The 24,202-nt window shown below is 35.5% G+C and overlaps 1 protein-coding gene across 35 annotated transcripts in view; it reads right to left on the bottom strand.

Moving 5' to 3' along the window:
• Positions 1 to 24,202, bottom strand: part of CCDC171 (coiled-coil domain containing 171) — a 556,042-nt gene that overhangs the window by 415,489 nt on the left and 116,351 nt on the right. For all 35 annotated transcript variants that reach the window (XR_007061261.1, XR_001746227.3, XR_001746228.3 and 32 more), the window contains one exon: positions 14,542 to 14,680. Coding sequence is in view for 30 of the 35 variants with exons in the window: in XM_047422930.1 (XP_047278886.1) it covers positions 14,542 to 14,680 (139 nt within the window). In the remaining 5 variants the exon portion in view is untranslated. The remainder of the gene's footprint in view (positions 1 to 14,541; positions 14,681 to 24,202) is intronic.

Raw genomic sequence — 24,202 nt, 5'->3', positions numbered from 1 at the left:
AACACCTAGTTTCTAAAATAAGTGTTAAGTAGTTTAGTTAATTATAGCATGTTATCAACAGAAAAATCAATTAGGATTCATCCACACAGACTTTAGGAGGATGCCCTTCATCAATGAAAACATATCTAAGTTATCTTGTTCAGCTAAAAACAAAAAGGGAAGTGGGTTGACAGTATGTTTAATATACTGCCATATGTGTGAAGTGTGTGTGTGCATGTGTGTCTGTGTGTACCTATTTGTAAACGCAGAGAGAATTTCTACACAGCATCTGTTTTTTTGGTGTTTTGTTTTGTTTTGTTTTGAGACAGAGTCTCGCTCTGTCATCCAGGCGGGAGTGCAGTGGCATGATCTCAGCTCATTGCAACCTCCGCCTCCCAGGTTCAAGCGATTCTCCTGCCTCAGCTTCCCAAGTAGCTGGGAGTACAGGTGCCCACGACCACACCCGACTAATTTTTGTATTTCTAGTAGAGAAGGGGTTTCACCATGTTGACCAGGCTGGTCTTGAACTCCTGACCTCAAGTGATCCACCCGTCTCGGCCTCCCAAAGTGCTGGGATTACAGGGGTGAGCCACCATGCCCGGCCTAGAATCATTTTTAAAAGGAGTAACTATGGCCGGGAGCTGTGGCTCACGCCTGTAATCCCAGCACTTTGGGAGGCCGAGGCGCGTGGATCACGAGGTCAGGAGATCCACATCATACGGGCTAACACAGTGAAACCCCGTCTCTACTAAATATACAAAAAATTAGCTGGGCATGGTGGCGGGCGCCTGTAGTCCCAGCTACTTGGGAGGCTGAGGCAGGAGAATGGCGTGAACCCAGGGGGCGGAGCTTGCAGTGAGCCGACATCGCGCCACTGCACTCCAGCCTGGGAAAAAGAGTGAGACTCTGTCTCAAAAAAAAAAAAAAAGTAGTAATGATGGTTGTCTCTGAGAAGAGAATCTGGATGATTAAGAGAGAGATTTCATTTTTCATTGTAGAACCTTTTTCTATCATCAAAAAGTTAGATTTTTAAAAAAGAGTAAAAAGTAAATAAGCCAACAAACAAAAAATGACTTGTCTTTTTTTTTTTTGAAGAGACAGAGTCTTGCTCCATCATCCAGGTTGTAGAACAATCTCGGCTCAGTGCAACCTCCACCACCTGGGTTCAAGTGATTCTCATGCCTCAGCCTCCTGAGAGCTGAGACTACAGGTGTGTGCCCATGCCCAGCTAATTTTTGTGTTTTTGGTAGAGACAGGGTTTCACCATATTGGCCAAGCTGGTCTCGAACTCCTGGCCTCAAGTGATCCACCCACCTTGGTCTCCCAAAGCGTTGAGATTACAGGCGTGAGCCACCACACCTGACCAAAAAATCACTTTTCCATAGCAGATATACATGCAAGTTGTTGCTGTGTTATAAAATACTCAAGAAGTCCAGATAGAGACTTCTGGAAATTAGCAAAGCACAGACTCACAGGTCAGTGAAAGGCTGGGTGCAATGGCTCACTCTTGTAATCCCAGCACTTTGGGAGGCCAAGGCAAGAGGATCAAGCCCAGGAGTTCAAGGTGAGCCTGGGCAACATAGTGAGATCCCATCTCTACAAAAAAATGAAAAACCAGACAGCCATGGTGGCACATGCCTGTAGGTCCCAGTTACTCAGCAGGTTGAGGTGGGAAGATTGCTTGAGTCCGAAAAGTCAAAGCTGCAGTGAGCATCATTGTGCCACTGCACTCCGGCCTGGGCGACAGAGCAAGACCTTGCCTCAAAAATAAAATAAGGTAAATACAATACAACATAAATAAGTCTAAATAAAATATATTCTTGCTAATGGCAATCAAAGTCTACCTTAAAAAACACAGTATTTATAAAGCACCAAGTTTATGTGTACATATATATATATATATATATATATAAAAAACATATATTTACAGGTATTTTTAATCATTAAATATTTAAATATTCTATTAAATTCTTTGAGTATATTATGCTCAGAGTAAAAAAAAACAAATAGAGAAAAATAAAAGGTAATTCAATTCTCACAGGTAAGTTTTATTCACAATGTGTTTTATAATTATAGGAAATATCTATCTATAATTTTTTAATTCAAATAGGATCATAAAATACATACTATTATATTACTTTCTTTTCCACTCATAGTATGTTTCACATCTCTCCACGTCAGAAACTTTTTTAGCTGTATAGTACTCCATTGGTCAGATGTACCATAAATTAACTTAACCAGTCCCCCCTACTGTTAATATTTTTTAGGTTTCTGGCAGTTTTTTTTGCTATTAGTGACGACACTACAATATACATTCTTACATATGTTCTTTTTATATTTTGCATGTACGTTAAGTATATCTACTCAATAAATTCCTAGAAATAGATTTAATGAGGCAAAAGGAAACACACTGTTTTCAGACAATTGTTAACAAATTACTCTCTAATCAGTTATACCAATGTACACTACCATGAACGGTATGAGCATCCATTTGCCAATATCTATCCAATAGTAGGCATTATCAACTTATTTAATGTGCATTTACTTCATTTTAATTAAGATTAGCATCCTTTCATGTTCACTAGCCATCTGTATTTTTTTCTGTGCATTGCCTGTTCATATCATGTGCCCATTTTTATATTATATCATTCATTTCTTCCTTAGTGGTTTATAAAAGCGCTCCATAAATTATAAAAGCAATCTCTTTTTGTTACATGTTGCAAATCATTTTTTCTCATTTCTATTTGCCATCTGACTATAATATATTCTTAAAACAAAATTATATTTTTCAAGTGATCAAGTGTGCAAATCAATAGTATGCTTTAGGACTTCTGATTTTTATGTCATATTTTCCTTTTACTCCAAGATGACAAAACAATTCCATTTTTCTTCCAGTGCTTTTTCATTTTCTTCTTTTATGGCTCTTTGATCAATCTAAAATTTGTTTAGTAAATTTTAGTCATATTACTTATCATTATAACATAACAAGTTGTCTAAAAACTATTTGTGAGATAATCTATCTCTAAACATTGATTTGGCATACAAACATTATCATATACTAAATTCTCATACATACTGATAGCCATTTTTGAACTCCTTACTGTTTCATTGCTTTCTTCATTATTTTGTCAGTACCAAACTCTTAATTGTGGTAACTTTATATTTTTTTTAAACTTGACTGAGACATAATTGACATAACATACAGCTCACCCAATTAAAGTGTTTAATGTTTTTAGTATTTTCACGAGGTTGTACAAGCATATCCACAATCTAGATTTAGAACAGTGTTGTCCCTACTAAAAGATGTGCCACACCCACTGGCTCTCACTCCCCATTCTCCCACCACTATCCCCAGGCCTAAAGAATCACCATTCTCATTTCTTTTTGTTTTTGTTGTTTTGAGATGGAGTTTCCCTCTGTCGCCCAGGCTGAGGTAAATTCATTCTTTGGTGTTTGGATGTGGATAGCCAGTTCTCTCAGCACCATTTGTTGAAAAATATTATTCTTTCCCCCACTGAATTGACTTAACACCCTTTTTGAAAATCAACTAAACATAATCATGAAGGATTTTTTTCTAGATTCTCAATTCTGGTCCATTGATATACATGTAAATCATTATGCTAGTACCATACTATCTTGACTACTGTAGCTTTGTAGTTAGCTTTAAAATTGGAACGTGTTACTACTCCAACTTTATGGTTCTTTCTCAAGATTATTTTGGCTATTCATAGTCCCTTATATTTCTTTTGAGACTGAGTCTTACTCTGTCACCCAGGCTAGAGTGCAGTAGTGTGATCTTGGCTCACTGCAACCTCTGGCTCCTGGATTCAAGTGATTCTCATGCCTCAGCCTCCTGAATAGCTGGAACTACAGATACGCGCCATCACACCTGGCAAATTTTTATATTTTTAGTAGAGACGGGGTTTCACCATGTTGGCCAGGCTGGTCTCGAACTCCAGACCTCAAGTGATCTGCCCGCCTCGGCTTCCCAAAGTGCTAGGATTACAGGCATGAGCCACTGTGCTGGGCCTCCTTATATTTCCATATGTGTTTTAGGATCTGCTTGTCAATTTCTGCAAAAAGACAACTAAAAGTTCATTGGTGGTACAGTGGTAAGCATAGCTGTCTTCCAAAAAGTCAACTGAGATTTTGATGGAGATTGCATTAAACCATCAATCTGGGGAGTACTAACATCAGTATTAACTATTACATGAACATGAGATATTTTTCCATTTATTTCGACCTTGTTTAATTTCTTTCCATGATAAATTGCAGTTTTCAGCAGACAAGTTTTATGCTTCTTTTGTCAAATTATTCCTAAGTATTATATTCTTTATTATTTTATTGTCAATAGAATTGTTTCCTTAATTTTATTTTTGGAATGCTCATTGCTAGTTACAGAAATACAACTGCTTTCCTAAATGGATATTGTATTGTATCCTACAACTCTGCTAAACTACTTTATTAGCTCTAATAATTTTCTCTGCATGTGTGGATTCCTTAGGATTTTCTAATATATACAGGATTATGTCAACTGCAAATAGATAATTTACTTCTACCTTTCCAAAACTGATGCCTTTTATTTCTTTTTCTTGCCTAATACCACTGGCTAGAACCTCCAGTAAAATGTTGAACAGACATGGTGAGAGTGTACATCCTTGTATTATTCCTAATCTTATGGTGAAAGTATTCAGTCTTTTACCATTAAATGTAATGTCAGATGTAGGTTTTCTATAGATGCTCTTCTTGAGGTTGAGGAGGAAGCTTCCTTGTATTCTTAGTTTGTTGAGCATTTTTATCATAAAAGGATGCTGCATTTTATCAAATGTTTTTCTGTGTCTATTGAGATAATCATTAGGCTTCCATCATTTATTACATTAGCTGATTTTCAGGTGTTAAACTAGTATTACATTCCTGAGATAAATCCCACTTGATCATGGTGTAATATCTTTTTTATATCTTGCTGGATTCAGCTTGCTAGTATAGTTTTGAGAATTTTAGCATCTACATTCAAAAGGGAGGCTAGTCTGTAGTTTTCTTTTCTTTCAGTATATTTGGTTTTTGTATCAAGGTAATAATACTGATTTCACAGAATGATATGGGAAGTGTTATCTCCTCTTCTATTTTTGAAAGAATTTATGAAGAATTGGTGGTAATTGTTCTTAAACATTTAAATAAATTTACCAGTGAACCTATCTAGGCCTGGGCTTTTCTTTGTGGGAGTTTTTTTGATTACTAATTCAATCTCTTTTGATTTATTTTGTATTTTGATATTCTAAGACATCCTGCTATTGCATTGATTTTCTATTTCTTTCTTTCTTTTTTTTTTTTTTTTTTTTTGAGATGGAGTCTTGCTCTGTTGCCCAGGCTGGAGTGCAATGGCGCCATCTCAGCTCACCACAACCTCCGCCTCCCAGGTTCAAGCGATTCTCCTGCCTCAGCCTCCCAAGTAGCTGGGACTACAGGCATGCGCCACCTTGCCCAGCTAATTTTTGTATTTTCAGTACAGACGGGGTTTCGCTACGTTGGCCAGGCTGGTCGTGAACTCCTAACCTCATGATCTGCCCACCTTGGCCTCCCAAGTGTTAGGATTACAGGCACGAGCCACTGCGCCCAACGGATTTTATATTTCTTCTTAACCAGTTTTGGTAATTTGTGTCTTTCTAGAAAGTTGTCCATTTTAAATTATCTAATTTGTTGGCATATAGTTTTTCAGAGTATTCTCTTACAATTATTTCTATTTCTGCGTGGTCAGTAGTTATATCCCCCTTTCGTTCATGATTTCAGTAATTTGAATCTCTTCTCCTTTTTTGATGAGTGTAGCTAAAGTTATCAATTGAGTTATCTCTTCAAAGAATCAACTTTTGGTTTCACTGATTTCCTCTATTTTTTAAAATTCTCTATTTCTTTTATTTCCTTGTTAGTCTTTACTGTTTATTTTCTTCCACTTGTTTTGGGTTTAGTTTGCTCTTCTTTTTCTCTTTTCTTACCGTGAAATGTTAGGTTATTGATTTGAGGATTTTTTTTTTTTAAGAGACGGGGTCTCGCTGTGTTGCCCAGGCTGACCTCAAACTCTTGGACTCAAAAACTTCTCCCACCTCAGCCTTCCAAGTAGCTAGGAACTACAGGCATGGACCACCATGCCCCAGTATTTTTTTTGAATATAGATGACTATGGTTGTAAGTTTCCCTCTTAAGCATAGTGTTAGCTGCATCCCACAAAGTTTGGTATGTTGTCTTTTTATTTCACTCATCTCAAAGTGTTTTCTAATTCCTTTGTGATTTCTTTTAGACTTGCTGGTTATTTAGGAGTGTGTTATCTAATTTTCACATATTTGTGAATGTTTCCTCTGTTGCCTTCTGTTATTAATTTCTAATTTAATTTCATTATGGTCAGAGAAGACACTTTGTATGATTTCAATCCTTTTAAATTTATTGAGGCTTGTTTCATGGCCTAGCATATGATCTATCCACAAGAATATTTCACGTACACTTGAGAAGAATGTATCTTCTTTTGCTAATGGGTGTGGTGTTCTATAGATATCTGTAAGGTCTAATTTGTTTACAGTACTGTTGAGTCTTCTATTTATTTGGTGATATTCTTCCTCATTGTTCTACCCATTACTGCAAGTGGGGTACTGAAGCCCCGAAATATTATTGTTGTCTATTTCTCCCTTCAATTATGTCAGGTTTTGCTTCAAATAGTTTGGAGGTCTGTTGTTAGGTGTACACATGTTTATAAATGTTAGATCGTTCTGGTGGATTGACCCTTTTAACAACATGAGATGTCCCTCTTTATCTCTAGTAACATTTTTATTCTAAAGTCTATTTTGTCTATCATCAGTATATCCACTCCAGTTTTTTTTTATTGGGTGCATGGTATATTTTTTCCATCCTCTGCTATTTTGATACATATATTATCTTTTTTTTATTTTTTTATTTTTTTAGATGGAGTCTCACTCTGTTGCCCAAGCTGGAGTGCAGTGGCGCGATCTCGGCTCACTACAAGCTCTGCCTCCCGGGTTCACGCCATTCTCCCGATACATATATTATCTTTAATGATCATCAAAAACCCTGCATGACCAAGATTGTTAGCACCATTTTACACATGAGCAAATGGATCCAGAGGAAGAATATCACTAAAGTCACACAACTAAAATGAGATAGGGTCTGGGATTAAAACCCAGATCAATATGCCTCCAAAATTTATGTTGTTTCTATTATGCCAGCTGACTGAAGTCCCCATTAATATCAAGGTATAAAAATTTACAGGAATATATCTATAGAAAGCCAGATAAACTGCATACTTGGAGTGAGCTTAATATCAAGGTTCAATTAAATTCCTAGTTCAAAAATAATTCTCTTTCAAGTATAGAGCTCAATCTTAACTAAAATATGAGCTAATATTTCCACACTATTACAATATGAGATCAAAATTAGGGTCAAATTAGGCAGAAAAGATTGAATAGTGTAAAATTTTTCAAAGAGCAAAAAAGAGATTTACTCACTCATCAGGCTTAAAAAGAAGCTAATGTTCATCTACCTGAAAATTACTATTACATTTGTAATTATTAATATTATAATTTTCACATCATTCTACAGAGATGTCTGGCTAATAGTCTTACAAATAATATAGCCAGTAGAAAGTTAGCTTAAATTTAATAATTACATTATTAACTTGTTTTACAGTTGACAAGTTTTTTTTCCTAACAAATTGTTTCAGTTTTATTAATGAAGATTCCACTCTTCATTCACACAGTAAAAGTGTCAGGATTTTGTTTTGTTTTTTAAATGCTGGATTGTGGTTGCATTTATCTTTTTTTTTGAGACAGGGTCTCACTTTGTGCCCCAGGCTAGCATGCACTGGTGTAATCATGGCTCACTGCAGCCTCAACCTCCCAGACTCAAGTGATCCTCCCATCTCAGCCTCCCAAGTAGCTAGAACTACAGGCACACGTCACCACGCACAGCTCATTTTTTTTAAATTTTTTTGTAGATATGGGAGTCTCACTACGTTTGTTGCTCAGGCTGGTCTCAAACTCCTGGGCTCAATGGTCCTCCCGTTTCAGATTCTCAAAGTGCTGGGATTATAGGTGTCAGCCACCATATCTGGTCTATGCTTATATTCAAATTTTGTTTCCAAAGCTGGTAGTTCTCTTAACAACCTTTTAATATACAAGGAATTTGAGAATGAAAACAGAATCCATTAGCTAAATAAACAAAACTGTTGAGCTGAAAACAAAGTACTAACTGAAGATAAAATATTGTTTCTAATTTTTTATTAACATATTTTGTCATGTGACATAAAGAATAAGTTTAGGTTAATGATAAATTGTTGACTCAACAAACGCTATAATTCTAAACATCCCCAGAAATTTAAAAGAATTGTAAGATAAAGGGACTCACTTATTTGCCTCAAGACAAAACTCACATATGGAATTTGTTGCCCTAGGATTAAAGGTCCCTTAATGCTATGTTGGCTAAGCAGATGATGTTTAGGTGAACATTTACTCATCACCCAACATGACCCACGGACTACTTTAAATGCTGTGATGAATCTACAACCAGTGTAAACAGGGGACTAAAAATATCAAAATATTCAAAGAAAGTTCAGAAAATGTTGTGATTGACAAATCTTAATGTATTATGAAAGAGGAGTCAATGTTGGTTAAAAAATATCTTTAACCAGAAAGAAAAATGAGATAACAAACTACCTTTATATGCACCTTGGGATACTATACCTCTCACACTGCTGAACTGAATGCATTTCTGGCTTAATCTAACATGTCATTCTTTTTTGTTTGTTTCATAATCATCTTCTCTTTTTTATGATCCTTCAAAACCTCATGCTCACTTTTTTGCTCACTCAACATGAGTACCACAAATAGAAAGGCACGTAAATAAAAATTTCGATTGAGAGCCTTGAAGAAACATATAAAAACTATATATAAATATTTATATCTGAAAATTGGTAAATGGGTCTTGCTGATCTGCTATGGAAAAAGTTGACTCAAGTCATAAATAACAATAAAAACCATGAAGGCCAATTTTAATAAGGTTAAAAATAATAGAAAAAACAAACAGGTTTAAAAAAAGCCTTTAGTCAATGGGTTTTTTTAATGAAATAAGCATTTTAAACATAGGTTGAACTTTTGCAACTAATATATAGTTCTTATAATTTCTGAACATTTTTGAACTCAAGTAAAACTTTTAAGTTTTTTATTTAAATATATGTTAAGCAATTATGAAGAAATTCTAAGTAAAAACGAGGAAGCATCAAAGCCTATAATCTTCATTACATACTTTTACCCTCACAGCTCACCTTTTCATCATATCTTGTACCTAGTTACCATTATATGCACAATGCATTTGTATGGGCTTAAGGAGGTCTGAGTAGCTTTTGTTATCATCACCATCAGCAGCTTTTCCCTAATCATATTAATGATAGCTAGTCTCTTAGTTCCCTACCACCTTGTTTACCTATGCCACTTCCACGGATGTCAGTATTCCATGACCCCACTTGCTTATCTCACATAATGAAATGTTACCCTTCTTTACTTAGCTTTGACAATCAGTTTATTTTTCAGTAGACGCTACCTTTCAATCTGAACATGGGCCTTAACATATAAACATCTCTCTCGCAATCTCTTGCTCTCTGTCTCTCTCACACACATACATACACAATACCATTTTATTTTTCCCAGGTGAAAAATGAGATTTGGATTTTCAAAATTTACTAATTTGCATAGAAATAAATTTCAAAAGGCTTAATGCAAAAGCTTTATGCCTATACCATAAATTTAGGAAGTCAGCCTCCTAAAAGGAATATTTAAATACACAAAGACACTTACGCGATGAATATTATTTACTAGAACTAAAATTTAAGGGCCACTAAGAGAAACGGAAAGTGATATTTATATTAGCAAAAACAATGCCCATGTATAAATACTACTCCTATTCTTGGTGAAAAACAAGAATCAATCTTTTTTTAGTAAAAAATCAGAATAGAATATTTATTAGCCCATTAGTTTTGAAAACCTCCTACAAAATCAGAAACATGTTCTTCTAAAGCAAACCTAATAGTTCATTGGAAGTAAAAATATTATCAAGAAATATTACCTTCACCACAAAGCATAACCATCAAAGCACTTTCCAAAATCATATTTAATGCTAGCAATCATTACTATTATATAATCAGTTAAACCCCCAAAAGTATTGGGGAAAAAATATACACTTGACCATTTTCAATCACAAGTTCTTTAGAGAATAAAACATTCTTTGACCAAAACCTCCTGAGAACTAGAATTCCCTTTTCAATATAAAGTCTCTCCTAGAGCTGTAACTAAATATTACTGAGTGGCAGGAAAACAAATCTCAAGAAATGACGGACTTAAGAAAATTTCATTGAAGAAAGCACAGAGCAAGTTCTAATAATACCAATTTGAAAATGAAAGCTCCCCTGCTTCAAGAGAAGCAGATATAAAAACTCACAGTAATGTCTAAAAGACCCAGCTGGATCTGTTGAGCCTCAGATGGACTTTAATAAGCATGATCAGTCAGCATCTTAAACTAGAAATTCAGTTTTATTTAGTAGTTGATTAAATCATTATTAAATTCATAGATTTTGAAACTAAAAGCTCAATTTCCAATCAAAACTTTTTATAGTCAAATTCTGTCAAGTTTCATATTCTGTGTTCACATCTTCATGTAAACATGAAAATAAATTTGTTAAGTCCTTGGATGTCCTATGTTGAAAACCTACTAATTCAATGACATTCAAAACAATAATTATATACCATTAATTTATTAGTTATATCTTTTAAATCTATAAATTGAAGTAATTTCATTAATATAAAAGTATAATTAGAATAAAAAGAAATGATAAATGTTTGAGATAGTAATTACCCACATCTGATCACTTTATGTTGTATATATCAAAACATCACAGTGTACCATATAAATATGTATTAATACAATTATTTTGTGTCAATTAAAAATAAATAAAGTACAATTAAATTTAGCTGGTTTATATTTATTAAATACCCCCAAAAGACAACATACTCAGTTTAGACTTTTCCAAAATTATGTTTTATATTTATATAATATCTCTCTCAAAACAGGGGAGCTATCACTTTCCAACTGGTTTATTAAGACTTTCTGTATCCTGGGCTAGATGATCTCTAAAGCCTCTAACAGCTCTGCTGCTGTATCTAGCCCAGGATACAGCATAAGGCTATGCTGTACTAACACATACAAAGTTATTTGTAAGTCTCAAAATTTGCTCAAGTCTTTGTATCTTATTAATAACACCTTGATCTCACGAGTAAACCTATAGAGGATAGTGACTTTAACTTTCTTTTCCAATGTAACAGAGAAAATAAAGACCAAGATTTAAATAATGACCATGAACATGACCTAAACTAGAAAACAATCTGGTACCTCAAAAGGGAAGAAAAATTACCTGTTAGTAATTTATGCTTCCCATCCATAGTCTGTAAAATACTGAAACTATTATGCTCAAAAGAAATATAATTGTGGAAAAGACACACTAGGGTATGTAAAATCATGGCATGTCATTAAAACAATTTCGTTTCCAAAAGCAAAAGGGAAAATCTTCCTCATAAGTCATTCTGTCTTCAGTCAACAACAATTATGAATTGAAAGCACAAATAACAGCCAGACTGTGAATGCAGAACTAGAAAAACTTCATTTCTTATGGCTTAAAATTTTAATTTGGGAGAAACATCTTTCAAGAGAAACTTTGCAAGCCTTCTTTCCCCCAAAGGCCACTAATCTACCGAGAAAAGTCAATAAAGGAATATGTACAAGAAAAGAATATATTTAGGAAAAGTGACAGAATAGTAATTTATAAAAAGAAAAACATTGTACTTACTATTTAAAGACATTTTCATTAAACAGGTCTTAAATTTCATATTATGGTCAGGTAAAGAAATAGAGAACAGCAGCTCTAATAAGCATAAAACAGAAAAAGTTAAAAGAAAGCTAACAGGGAAGAAGAAAGAAGAGGAAGATGGAAGAAAATAAGACGCAAAGCTATGAGTTTAAGAGAGATGAAAAAATTAAGAGGAACATATTAACAGTCTGAGCCACATCAACTGTACATCACTTAATCTGGCAACCTGAGTAAGTTTTTCGAACATCCCATTCGGCAAGGAACTATTAGATTATTTACAGATCTGCAACTGCTTTTAGCAATCCATCAAGCTTTGAAGAAACAATTAGCCTACAATTTTCAGCATCATTATCAAAACAGTAGTGTTTAATGGGTTAATACAATGAATACAACGAGTGCAGACGGTCCCAACAGGAAAACAAAGGTTGCTGGTGAGCTGCCACTTGCATTATTTTAGGCCATATATCACTCTGTAAATGTTTTAGAAAAAAAAATCTGTTGGTACCAAGTAAAATTTTTTAATCACTAAATATGAATATGCTCTGTGGTGAGTTAAACCAGTCTCATTTTATTTTGTATCTACTCACTAAAGTGCTAGAAAACCAGAATTAGGAAAATTCATGCAACCTATATTGGTGATTATGTCTTAACTCTTGCATTTTTAGTTATAACCCTGGCTTATTTTCCAAACTACTGAGTACAATATCTAATAAGCAAGCGAACCAAATGCAGTACTCAGCTCAATGACCCTGATATATTTTTCTCCACTACTGATTCAACCTCCTGAACTAGGAGGTAAGAGTTAAAACAGCCCATGAAATTTAAGATAACATTACAGTGAACAGATGCTACAGTAGACTACACAGAGGGCTCTTAACTTTCTAAAACATCACATTCAAAATACCAAACTGCAAACTGATTTCTAGAACAAGCAATGATATCAGTTCCCTGAATCAGAACACAGCAAACATCTTTAGATAAATGGAAAATGTATATAATATTGGATCATCTGAAAAAACACTGAAGAGTTTTAACTATATCCTATTATTAGCTTTCGATATGGGCAGCACTGATTTGGTGACCAATTCCTAGTATAACCCAGGGTCCACCTTTTTTGAGGAAAATAATATCCATTGTCCTCAATAACTAAATCACTAAAACTTTTGGAATATAACTGAAAGTGAAGTAGTCAAGCCTCTGAGGAAAGTATGTATGTATAGAACAAAACAAAGAAGTAATACAGTATTACCATAAACTTTACACCCTCCATGGTGGGGTCCCCAGCAAACTGCTGAGAAGAGGATTCTGCATCAACCAAATAAATCCATCGAACAAATGTTTATTGAGCCAAGTACTATAGTGGAATCTAGGTATGTAAAATGAAGTAAGTTAACCTCAATGCATTCATATCCTCTTGGGAGACATAATACACATCAAATTTCGGTGAGTATTATGATAAAGATGCTGAACTAAGTACTAAAGAAATACTGTTGAGGAGGCACAGAATTTTAACTTAAGGTGGATGAGAGTGGAGAAGATAGAATCACAGAAAGCTTCACAGATTGCAAGATATCAGAGCTGGGCATCACAGGATGTAAAGAAATCTGTTAATGGAAAAGAAAAGGAGCATTTTAGTCATTGCAGGTAAAAGAAATGAATAACCTGAATAAAAATAAGAATATATGAAAAGATGTGTTTAGGTCAATGCAGTGCTTCATGCCTTAATCCCAGCACTTTGGGAGGCCAAGACAGGAGGACCACTTGAGGCCACTTGTTTGGTGCCAGCCTGGCCAACATAGCGAGACCTCATCTCTGTAAAAAAATTTTTAAACTAGCCAAGCAAGGTGGCACATCTGCAGTCTCAGCTACTCGGGGGGCTGAGGCAAGAGGATTGCTTGAGCCCAGGAGCTGCAGATTTCAGTGAGCTAGGGTTGCACCACTGCACTCTAGCCTGGGCAACAGAGTGAAACCTCATCTTCAAAAAGAAAAGAAAAGATGTGTGTAGAAAACAAGGAGCACTCTAATATGGCTAAAGCAAGACAGACAGAGGGCAAAGGCAAAATAAGAGGGTAGAAAAGTTAATATGAAGACAAAAGGAAAAGGTCCTGAGATTATACAACAAGAAGCTGGCCGTTATTCTGAAAACAACAGGGAGACATCGAGATGCTGATGAGTTTTAAATAAAGAGAGGTTAACAAAAACAGATCAATATTTTACAAAGATAAACTTGGTGATGGTGTAAAAGCTAGATTACTGGGGAATGGAGAGAGAGTGATCAGGTACAAAACAATTACAAAAGGAAGTCTTTGAAATCATCAGATGTATTAATTACAAACCCTAATCACCCTTAATCTAAGTAATACTGTTTTATGCACGATAAAAAAAAAACATTTGAATACATTTTTGAAAATTCTATAATTCAGTTTTTACTAGTTCAGTTAGTTTCCCCCAATTATTCCAAATCAGAGAGGTTTCATTATGTGTATCTTTGATGTAATCAGCATTTCCAGTTTTGGAAATTTTGTTATCAATGTCACTAAAATAACTTGCATACTATTATCTCATGGAATGTGGTGAGGAAAAACCCTGCTATACATCCAATATGACCTAATAAAGTGATTTCCATAGGGTTTTCTTTTTTATCCTTACCATTACTAGTTCTTCCTGTAATTCACTGCAACTTTTTTCATTATACTGGAGTCTCTTTGAAAGGTCTATAATTACTTTCTTCTGTTCCTCGATGTCTTCATTTAGTTTCTTATTTTTGGAGAAATACTCTTTTTCTAATCTGAAAAGTTAAAGTGTCAGAGCAGGTTTTTCAAACATGCTTACATCAACTGATATTACACACCTTTAATACATATGGCAGATGTACTACATATCATGTGTTCATGCTAAAAGACTTTTTAAGGCTAACTCCTTTTTCAAACAAAAAGTACTGAATATTCTTAAATGAAAAACTTCAAAGCAATATTACTTTCCCTTTGATAGTAGGTATTTGTAGTATGCCCAAGGCTATAAGCAAAATAGATTTGGTTACTGTTGATTTGGATTCACCATCATTTTTGACGAGCAAAACCCACCTACCGTAGTTCAATTAGCTCAGAGACTATCTCAAGACTGAGAAAACAGTAGTACCAAACAACTTTAAAATTAAAATACAACATTAGAAATGGAACAAATGTCTCACATCTGAATGTCCATGCAAGTAGAACCAGTGTGGTGGCATGGAAAATCCAAAAGGAAAAATAATCAAAAATAATTCACATTCACTTTGAAGACATACGAATTTCTTTTCAAAGGATTCGCCTTCCTATTTAAATTTTGCTCAGATAGGCCAGGTGCAGCAGCTCACACCTGTAATCCCAGCACTTTGGCAGTCCATAGCAGGAAGATCATTTGAAGTCAGGAGTTTAAGACCAGCCTGGGCAACAAAACAAGACTCGATCTCTACAAAACAATTTAAATATCAGCCGAGCACAGTGGTGTGTGTCTGTAGTCCCAGATACTCAGGAGGCTGAGGCAGGAGGATTGCTTGAGCCCAGGAGTTCAAGGTTGCAGTGAGCTATGATTGTGCCACTGCACTCCAGTCTAGGTAACAGAATGAGACCACATCTCTTATATATATATATATATATATATATATATATATATATATATATATATGACACACACACACATATATATATACATACACACACACACACAGCCATTTGTGTGTGTGCGCGTGTGTGTGTGTATATATATGAGATGGGGTATATATACACACACACACACACATATAGGTATATAAATACACACCACATATATATGGGAGAAAAAATATATATGTATATTGTTCAGGTTAGTATTAAACTGTGTTTACATTCTGTATGAACATATAATGAAAGGTAGCTTCGAAGTATTTTCATTTAAAATTTTCTATAGATAATCTACCAAAGGAATAATTTTAATTCAAATTTAAATGTTGTCACTGTTTTAAATCTGAGATCTTCCTAAAAATGTAGTAGACCTGTTTCCCCTGATTAAATTATATTGCAGGAGACAGGGTGGCTCAGTATAATGCAGTCTAAATTACTACTATAATCAAATAAAGAGGTAATTTTTGAGTAGCACATGACCTTACTCTGAGCAATCAACATTATTTTCTCTGGGGTGGAACACAGACAATTCTAGTGTTAACTTTTTTTGTATATTCTCCTTTAGATTAGGAATATTCCAAGGCAGAGTAGCTTGAATTTAAAATAAACACGTGTAAAAGGATTGGATGCTACATTTATGTAAATCTCTCAAAGTAGAACTAAACTATAAAAATGAGTCTAAGTAGAAAAAGATAAGAAAATCAATCCAGGAGTCCCAACATATAAAGGAGTCCAGAGAAAGATGAATAAGGTGCAAAGAATAAACAAAGCAATGAGAATTTCCCAAAAATTAATTACTCCAGTCTCTAAAATTGAAAGAGCTCGACAAGAACCTAGCAAAATGAAAGAAAAACAATCCATGTGAGGCCCATCATCATGAAATTTCAGAACACTGGGAACAAAAAATGATTCTACAGAGTGCCCATCAAGTATGGAAACACACGTATTATTATTTTATCATGTATAATAATGTAACATAAGTAAACCATTTCATATATAATCACCTAAAGATTCCAGACTTGATGGCCACTCTGTGTTAAGTTTCCAGAGGAAAACGTGGACTACATACAAAAGATCAGGATTCAACTGACTTCAGACTTCTCAAACACTAAAACTGAATGAACGGCCAGCTGAACTATGAAAAAGGATAAAGATCAAAAACTTTCAGAATGCAAGTTTTAAATTTTCCTCTGATAAATAATTTCTCAAATAGCTACTTTCCAATGGAGAAAATCAAATAAAGAATAAGGCACAAGATTATCAAAAAGAGATCCAAAATACAAGAGAATTAGAGGGAATTCCAAGGATGATGTTAAAGGGAAGTCCTTGGGTGACTGTGTACAGGGAACCTAAAAAACAACTTGTCCAGCTCGAGCGCTTCCAAGATGGCCAAATAGGAACAGCTCCAGTCTGCAGCTCCCACAGAGATCAACGCAGAAGATGGGTGATTTCTGCATTTGCAACTAAGGATCACAGCTCCTCACCACCAACAGAACAAAACCGGATGGAGAATGAGTTTGACGAGTTGACAGAAGTAGGGTTCAGAAGGTCGGTAATAACAAACTTCTCCGAGCTAAAGGAGCATGTTCTAACCCATCACAAGGAAGCTAAAAACCTTGCAAAAAGGTCAGGCGAACGGCTAAATAGAATAAGCAGTGTAGAGAAGAACTTAAATGACCTGATGCAGCTGAAAAACACAGCACGAGAATTTCGTGATGCACGCACAAGCTTCAATAGCCAATTCGATCAAGTGGAAGAAAGGATATCAGTGACTGAAGATCAAATGAATGAAATGAAGTGAGAAGACATGATTAGAGAAAAAAAGAGTAAAAAGAAATGAACAAGGCCTCCAAGAAGTCTGGGACTATGTGAAAAGACCAAACCTGCATTTGATTGGTGTACCTGAAAGTGACGGGGAGAATGGAACCAAGTTAGAAAACACTCTTCAGGATATTATCCAGGAGAACTTCTCCAACCTAGCAAGACAAGACAACATTCAAATTCAGGAAATACAGAGAACACCACAAAGATACTCCTCGAAAAGAACAATCCCAAGATGCACGATTGTCAGATTCACCAAGATTGAAATGAAGGAAAAAATGTTAAGGGCAGCCAGAGAGAAAGTTCAGTTCACCAACAAGGGAAGCCCATGAGACTAACAGCGGATCTCTTGGCAGAAACCCTACAAGCCAGAAGAGAGTGAGGGCCAATATTCAACATTCTTAAAGAAAAGAATTTTCAACCCAGAATTTCATATCCAGCCAAACTAAACTTCATAAGTGAAGGAGAAATAAAATCCTTTTCAGACAAACAAATGCTGAGAGATTTTGTCACCACCAGGCCTGCCTTACAAGAGCTCCTGAAGAAAGCACTAAACATGGAAAGGAACAACTGGTACCAGCCACTGCAAAAACATACCAAATTGTAAAGACTATCAAGGCTAGGAAGAAACTGCATCAATTAACAGGCAAAATAACCAGCTAACATCATAATGACAGGATCAGATTCACACATAACAGTATTAACCTTAAATGTAAATGGGCTAAATGTCCCAAGTAAAAGACACAGACTGGCAAATTGCATAAAGAGTCAAGACCCATCAGTGTGCTGTATACAGGAGACCCATCTCACGTGCAGAGACACACAGAGGCTCAAAATAAAGGGATGGAGGAAGATCTACCAAGCAAATGGAAAGCAAAAAAAAAAAAAAAAAAAAACAGGAGTTGCAATCCTAGTCTCTGATAAAACAGACTTTAAACTGACAAAGATCAAAAGAGACAAAGAAGGCCGTTACATAATGGTAAAGGGATCAATTCAACAAGAAAAACTAACTGTCCTAAATATATATTCGCCCAATACAGGAGCACCCAGATTCATAAAGCAAGTCCTTAGAGACCTACAAAGAGACTTAGACTCCCATACAATAATAATGGGAGACTTTAAAACCCCACTGTCAATATTAGACAGATCAACGAGACAGAAGGTTAACAAGGATATCCAGGACTTGAACTCAGCTCTGCACCAAGCAGACCTAACAGACATCTACAGAACTCTCCACCCCAAATCAACAGAATATACATTCTTCTCAACACCACGTTGCACTTATTCTAAAATTGACCACATAATTGGAAATAAAACACTCCTCAGCAAATGTAAAAGATGAGAAATTATAACAAACTGTCTCTCAGACCACAGTGCAATCAAACTAGAACTCAGGATTAAGAAACTCACTCAAAACTGCTCAACTACATGGAAACTGAACAACCTGCTCCTAAATGACTACTCAGTAAATAACAAAATGAAGGCAGAAATAAAGATGTTATTTGAGACCAATGAGAACAAAGACACAACATACCAGAATCTCTGGGACATAGTTAAGGAAGTGTGTAGAGGGAAATTTACAGCACTAAATGCCCACAAGAGAAAGCAAGAAAGATCTACAATCGACACCCTAACATCACAATTAAAGAATTACAGAAGCAAGAGCAATCAAATTCAAAAGCTAGCAGAAGGCAAGAAATAGATAAGATCAGAGCAGAACTGAAGGAGATAGAGACACAAAAAACCCTTCAAAAAGTCAATGAATCCAGGAGCTCGTTTTTTGAAAAGATCAACAAAATAGATAAGACTGCTAGCAATATTAATAAACAAGAAAAGAGAGAAGAATCAAATAGACACAATAAAAAATGATAAAGGGGATCTCACCACCGATCCCACAGAAATACAAACTACTATCAGAGAATACTATAAACACCTATAAACACCTCTATACAAATAAACTAGAAAATCTAGAAGAAATGGATAAATTCCTGGACACATACACCCTCCCAAGACTAAACCAGAAAGAAGTTGAATCTCTGAATAGACCAATAATAGGTTCTGAAATTGAGGCAAAAATTAATAGCCTCTCAACCAAAAAAAAGCCCAGCACTGCACAGATTCACAGCCAAATACTACCAGAGGTACAAAGAGGAGCTGGTACCATTCATTCTGAAACTATTTCAATCAACAGAAAAAGAGGGAATCCTCCTTAACTCATTTTATGAGGCCAGCATCATCCAGATGCCAAAGCCTGGCAGAGACACAACAAAAAAAGAGAATTTTAGACCAATATCACTGACGAACATCGATGCGAAAATCCTCATTAAAATACTGGCAAACTGAATCCAGCAGCACATCAAAAAGCTTATCCACCACGATCAAGTTGGCTTCATCCCTGGGATGCAAAGCTGGTTCAATATATGCAAATGAATAAATGTAATCCATCACATAAACAGAACCAACAACAAAAATCACATGATTATCTCAATAGATGCATAAAAGGCCTTTGACAGAACTCAATAGCCCTTCATGCTAAAAACTCTCAATGAACTAGGTATTGATGGAACGTATCTCAAAATAATAAGAGCTATATATGACAAACCCACAGCCAATATCATACTGAATGGGCAAAAACTGGAAGCATTCCCTTTGAAAACCAGCACAAGACAAGGAGACCCTCTCTCACTTAATTCAACATAGTGTTGGAACTTCTGGCCAGGGCAATCACGCAAGAGAAAGAAATAAAGCGTATTCAATTAGGAAAAGAGGAAGTCAAATTATCCCTGTTTGCAGATGACATGATTGTATATTTAGAAAACCCCATCATCTCAGCCCAAAATCTCCTTAAACTGATAAGCTACTTCAGCAAAGTCTCAGGATACAAAATTAATGTGCAAAAATCACAAGCATTCTTATACACCAATAACAGACAGACAGCCAATTCATGAGTGAACTCCCATTCATAATTGCTACAAAGAGAATCAAATACCTAGGAATACAACTTACAAGGGATGTGAAGGACCTCTTCAAGGAGAACTACAAACCACTGCTCAAGGAAATAAAAGAGGACACAAACAAATGGAAGAATATCACATGCTCATGGATAGGAAGAATCAATATCATGAAAATGGCTATACTGCCCAAGGTAATTTATAGATTCAATGCCATCCCCATCAAGCTACCAATGACTTTCTTCACAGAACTGGAAAAAACTACTTTAAAGTTCATATGGAACCAAAAAAGAGCCCACATTGCCAAGACAATCCTAAGCAAAAAGAACAAAGCAAGCTGGAGGCATCACGCTATCTGACTTTAAACTATACTACAAGGCTACAATAACCAAAACAGCATGGTACTGGTACCAAAACAGATATATAGACCAATGGAACAGAACAGAGGCCTCAGAAATAACACCACACATCTACAACCATCTGATCTTCAACAAACCTGACAAAAACAAGAAACGGGGAAAGGATTCCCTATTTAATAAATGGTGTTCAGAAATTGGCTAGCCATATGCAGAAAGCTGAAACTGGATCCCTTCCTTACACCTTATACAAAAATTAACTCAAGATGGATTAAAGACTTAAATGTAAGACCTAAAACCATAAAAACCCTAGAAGAAAACCTATGCAAAACCATTCAGGACATAGGCATGAGCAAAGACTTCATGACTAAAACACCAAAAGCAATGGCAACAAAAGTCAAAATGGACAAAATGGGATTGAATTAAACTAAAGAGCTTCTGCACAGCAAAAGAAAGTATCATCAGAGTAAACAGGCAACTTACAGAATGGGAGAAAATTTTTGCAATTTATCCATCTGACAAAGGGCTAATATCCAGAATCTACAAAGAACTTAAACAAATTTACAAGAAAAAAACAAACAACCCCATCAAAAAGTGGGCAAAGGATATGAACAGACACTACTCAAAAGAAGATATTTATGCAGCCAACAGACATATGAAAAAACGCTCATGATCACTGGTCATCAGAGAAATGCAAATCAAAACCACAATGAGATACCATCTCACACCAGTTAGAATGGCGATCATTAAAAAGTCAGGAAACAACAGGTGCTGGAGAGGATGTGGAGAAATAGGAATGCTTTGACACTGTTGGGAGTGTAAATTAGTTCAACCATTGTGGAAGACAGTGTGGCAATTCCTCAAGGATCTAGAACTAGAAATACCACTTGACGCAGCGATCCCATTACTGGGTATATACCCAAAGGATTATAAATCATGCTGCTATAAAGACACATGCACATGTATGTTTATTGCGGCACTATTCACAAAGACTTGGAACCAACTCAAATGTCCATCAATGATAGACTGGGTTAAGAAAATGTGGCACATATACACTATGGAATACTATACAGCCATAAAAAAGGATGAGCTCACGTCCTTTGCAGCGACATGGATGAAGCTGGAAACCATCATTCTGAGCAAACTATCACAAGGACAGAAAACCAAACACTGCATGTTGTCACTCATAGGTGGGAATTGAACAATGACAACACATGTACACAGGGCAGGGAACATCACACACTGGGGCCTGGCAGGGGGTGGGGGGCTGGGGGAGGGATAGCATTAGGAGAAAGACCTAATGTGAAGACCTAATGTAAGCGAGTTGATGGATGCAGCAAACCAACGTGGCACATGTATACCTATGTAACAAACCTGCACGTTGTATACATGTATCCTAGAACTTAAGGCCAAAAAATAAAGATAAAAATAAATTTAAAAAAAAAACTTTTCCAGACTGGAAAAAGTAGACAGAAGAGTCCAGGAGGAACATCTCTTAGAAGAAATTTAAAATGATAGCGTCTCTGAGGTGTAGGAACATGAGAGACTTTCGGTTCTGTTAGTGTTTACAAATAATTTAATAAGTGATTGGTTAATCACATGAACTAATACAGTTTAAAATGAGGCAATTATTAACTATTCTCATCTGTTGATTCTGCAAGTATTTTCTGTTTTGTTTTGGTTTTTAGACAGCGTCTCACTTGGTCGCCCACACTGAAGTACAGTGGCATGATCATAGCTCACTGCAGCCTCGAACTACTCAGCATAAGCAATCCTTATACCTCAGCCTCCCAAGTAGCTGGGACTACAAACATGCGCCACCAAAAGCAATCCTCCCCCACCTCGGCCTCCAGCAATCCTCCCACCAGAGCCTCCCAAAGTGCTGGGATTACAGGTATAAGCCACCACATCCAGCCCAATTCCATAAATCTTTATTTAGCAGCTCTTATGTACCTTTCTAGGCACTGACAAGACAGCAATAAACAAAACAAAGTTTCTTGTTACATAAGACAGACAATAAATAACAAAGAACACAATAAAATGTGCTATAAAAAAAGATGGGTTAACAAAAATTAAACTGTAGAAAAAATAAAGTATGCTGAACCCAAAAATATAACTCTATGGAAAGGATGGGAAGAGGGAAGGAGTGTCTGTGGTGTGGGAGAAGCATATAATAGAGATATATAAGTAGAAGCCAATAGATATTTAAAGGTAGAAACTGAAAAAAATGGCATACTATGCCTGTTATTTAGAAATATGAAATCAAATATCAGAAGAACCAGCAATAAGATTTGAAAGTAGATGCATCAAAGGAGTAGAAACTGATAGTAGAGAGCAATGGGGCATGAAACTGCTGTTTTTCATGAGCCTAACAGTACCATTTTATTCATTAGACTGTGTACATGTATTAATTTGATAAAATCAAGATTTTAGTTAAAAACTGCTGTTACTCAAAAAATAGATAATTAAGTGCATCTGTCATTACACACACAATACACACACAGCTTTTTTTTTGGTACTATTTTATAAATAAAGGCCAAACTGTGTCCACTGAAATGGGGGAACACACCTTGCTGTTGAGCATTCTGGCGGACAAAAAAGCTGGCTCCTACCATGCTGCTAAACTCCCAACCAAGAAGGAGTAAGTGGAGCAAGAGTAGGGCAGGTTAAGGAGATGCCTTGTCTCTGAATTCTGATGGGAAAGGGCCAGGACTTAAAAGGTGGAGGATTTAGGCAAGAAAGGGAAGAGAGGAGAAGTAAGTTTGTAGCTAGGATCCCTTCTTTCCTACTGGAGTCCCATTCTTTTTTTTTTTTTTTTTTTTTTAAGACTTCAGCTAAGAATTTGACAATAACAGGGTATTTTAACAAATAGCCATCTTTGGACTATGTTTTACATATAATGTAAACAAAAATAATGCTACTAAGTTACAATACCGTTGATATGTTTATCCTTTTGGGTGATATATTTAGAAAAATAAATTCCTAAATATTGAGTCTAAGAAATAAATTTAGATGCAGTCCATTCAGCATGATATATTTGACTAATGATGTTTCAAATTAAATTTATGTTTCAACTATACCTAAGGATTACTATGATCTCTTTCTCCCTACTATTGCCCAGCAATCAGTTGTCACAGCTAATGAAGACTTTACTATATTTGAAAATTCAGATGGTTAATGGGTACAAAAATACAGTTAGATGGAAGGAACAGGATCTAGTGTTTGGTGGCACAACAGGGCAACTATAGTTAACAATAATCTATCACATATTTCAAAATAACTAAAAAAGTGGAATTGGAATGTTCCTAACATAAATAAATGATAAATGCCTGAGTTAATGGATAGCCCAATTACCCTGATTTGATCATCACACATTGTATGCTTGTATAAAAATATCACACATACCCCATAAATATGTACAACTATTATTTACCCATAATTAAAAATAAAAAATGTTTAAAAAGAAAACAAAAGATTATTGAAAAGCTTTGGTTTCATACTGCAAGTTTTAGATGGAAAAAAATTTATTCTAAGAAATTTT

Source organism: Homo sapiens, chromosome 9, assembly GCF_000001405.40.
Source record: "Homo sapiens chromosome 9, GRCh38.p14 Primary Assembly".
Classification (NCBI taxonomy): domain Eukaryota; kingdom Metazoa; phylum Chordata; class Mammalia; order Primates; family Hominidae; genus Homo; species Homo sapiens.
The sequence above is the reverse complement of the archived record's forward strand: the minus strand, read 5'-3'. Positions and strand labels throughout refer to the sequence as shown.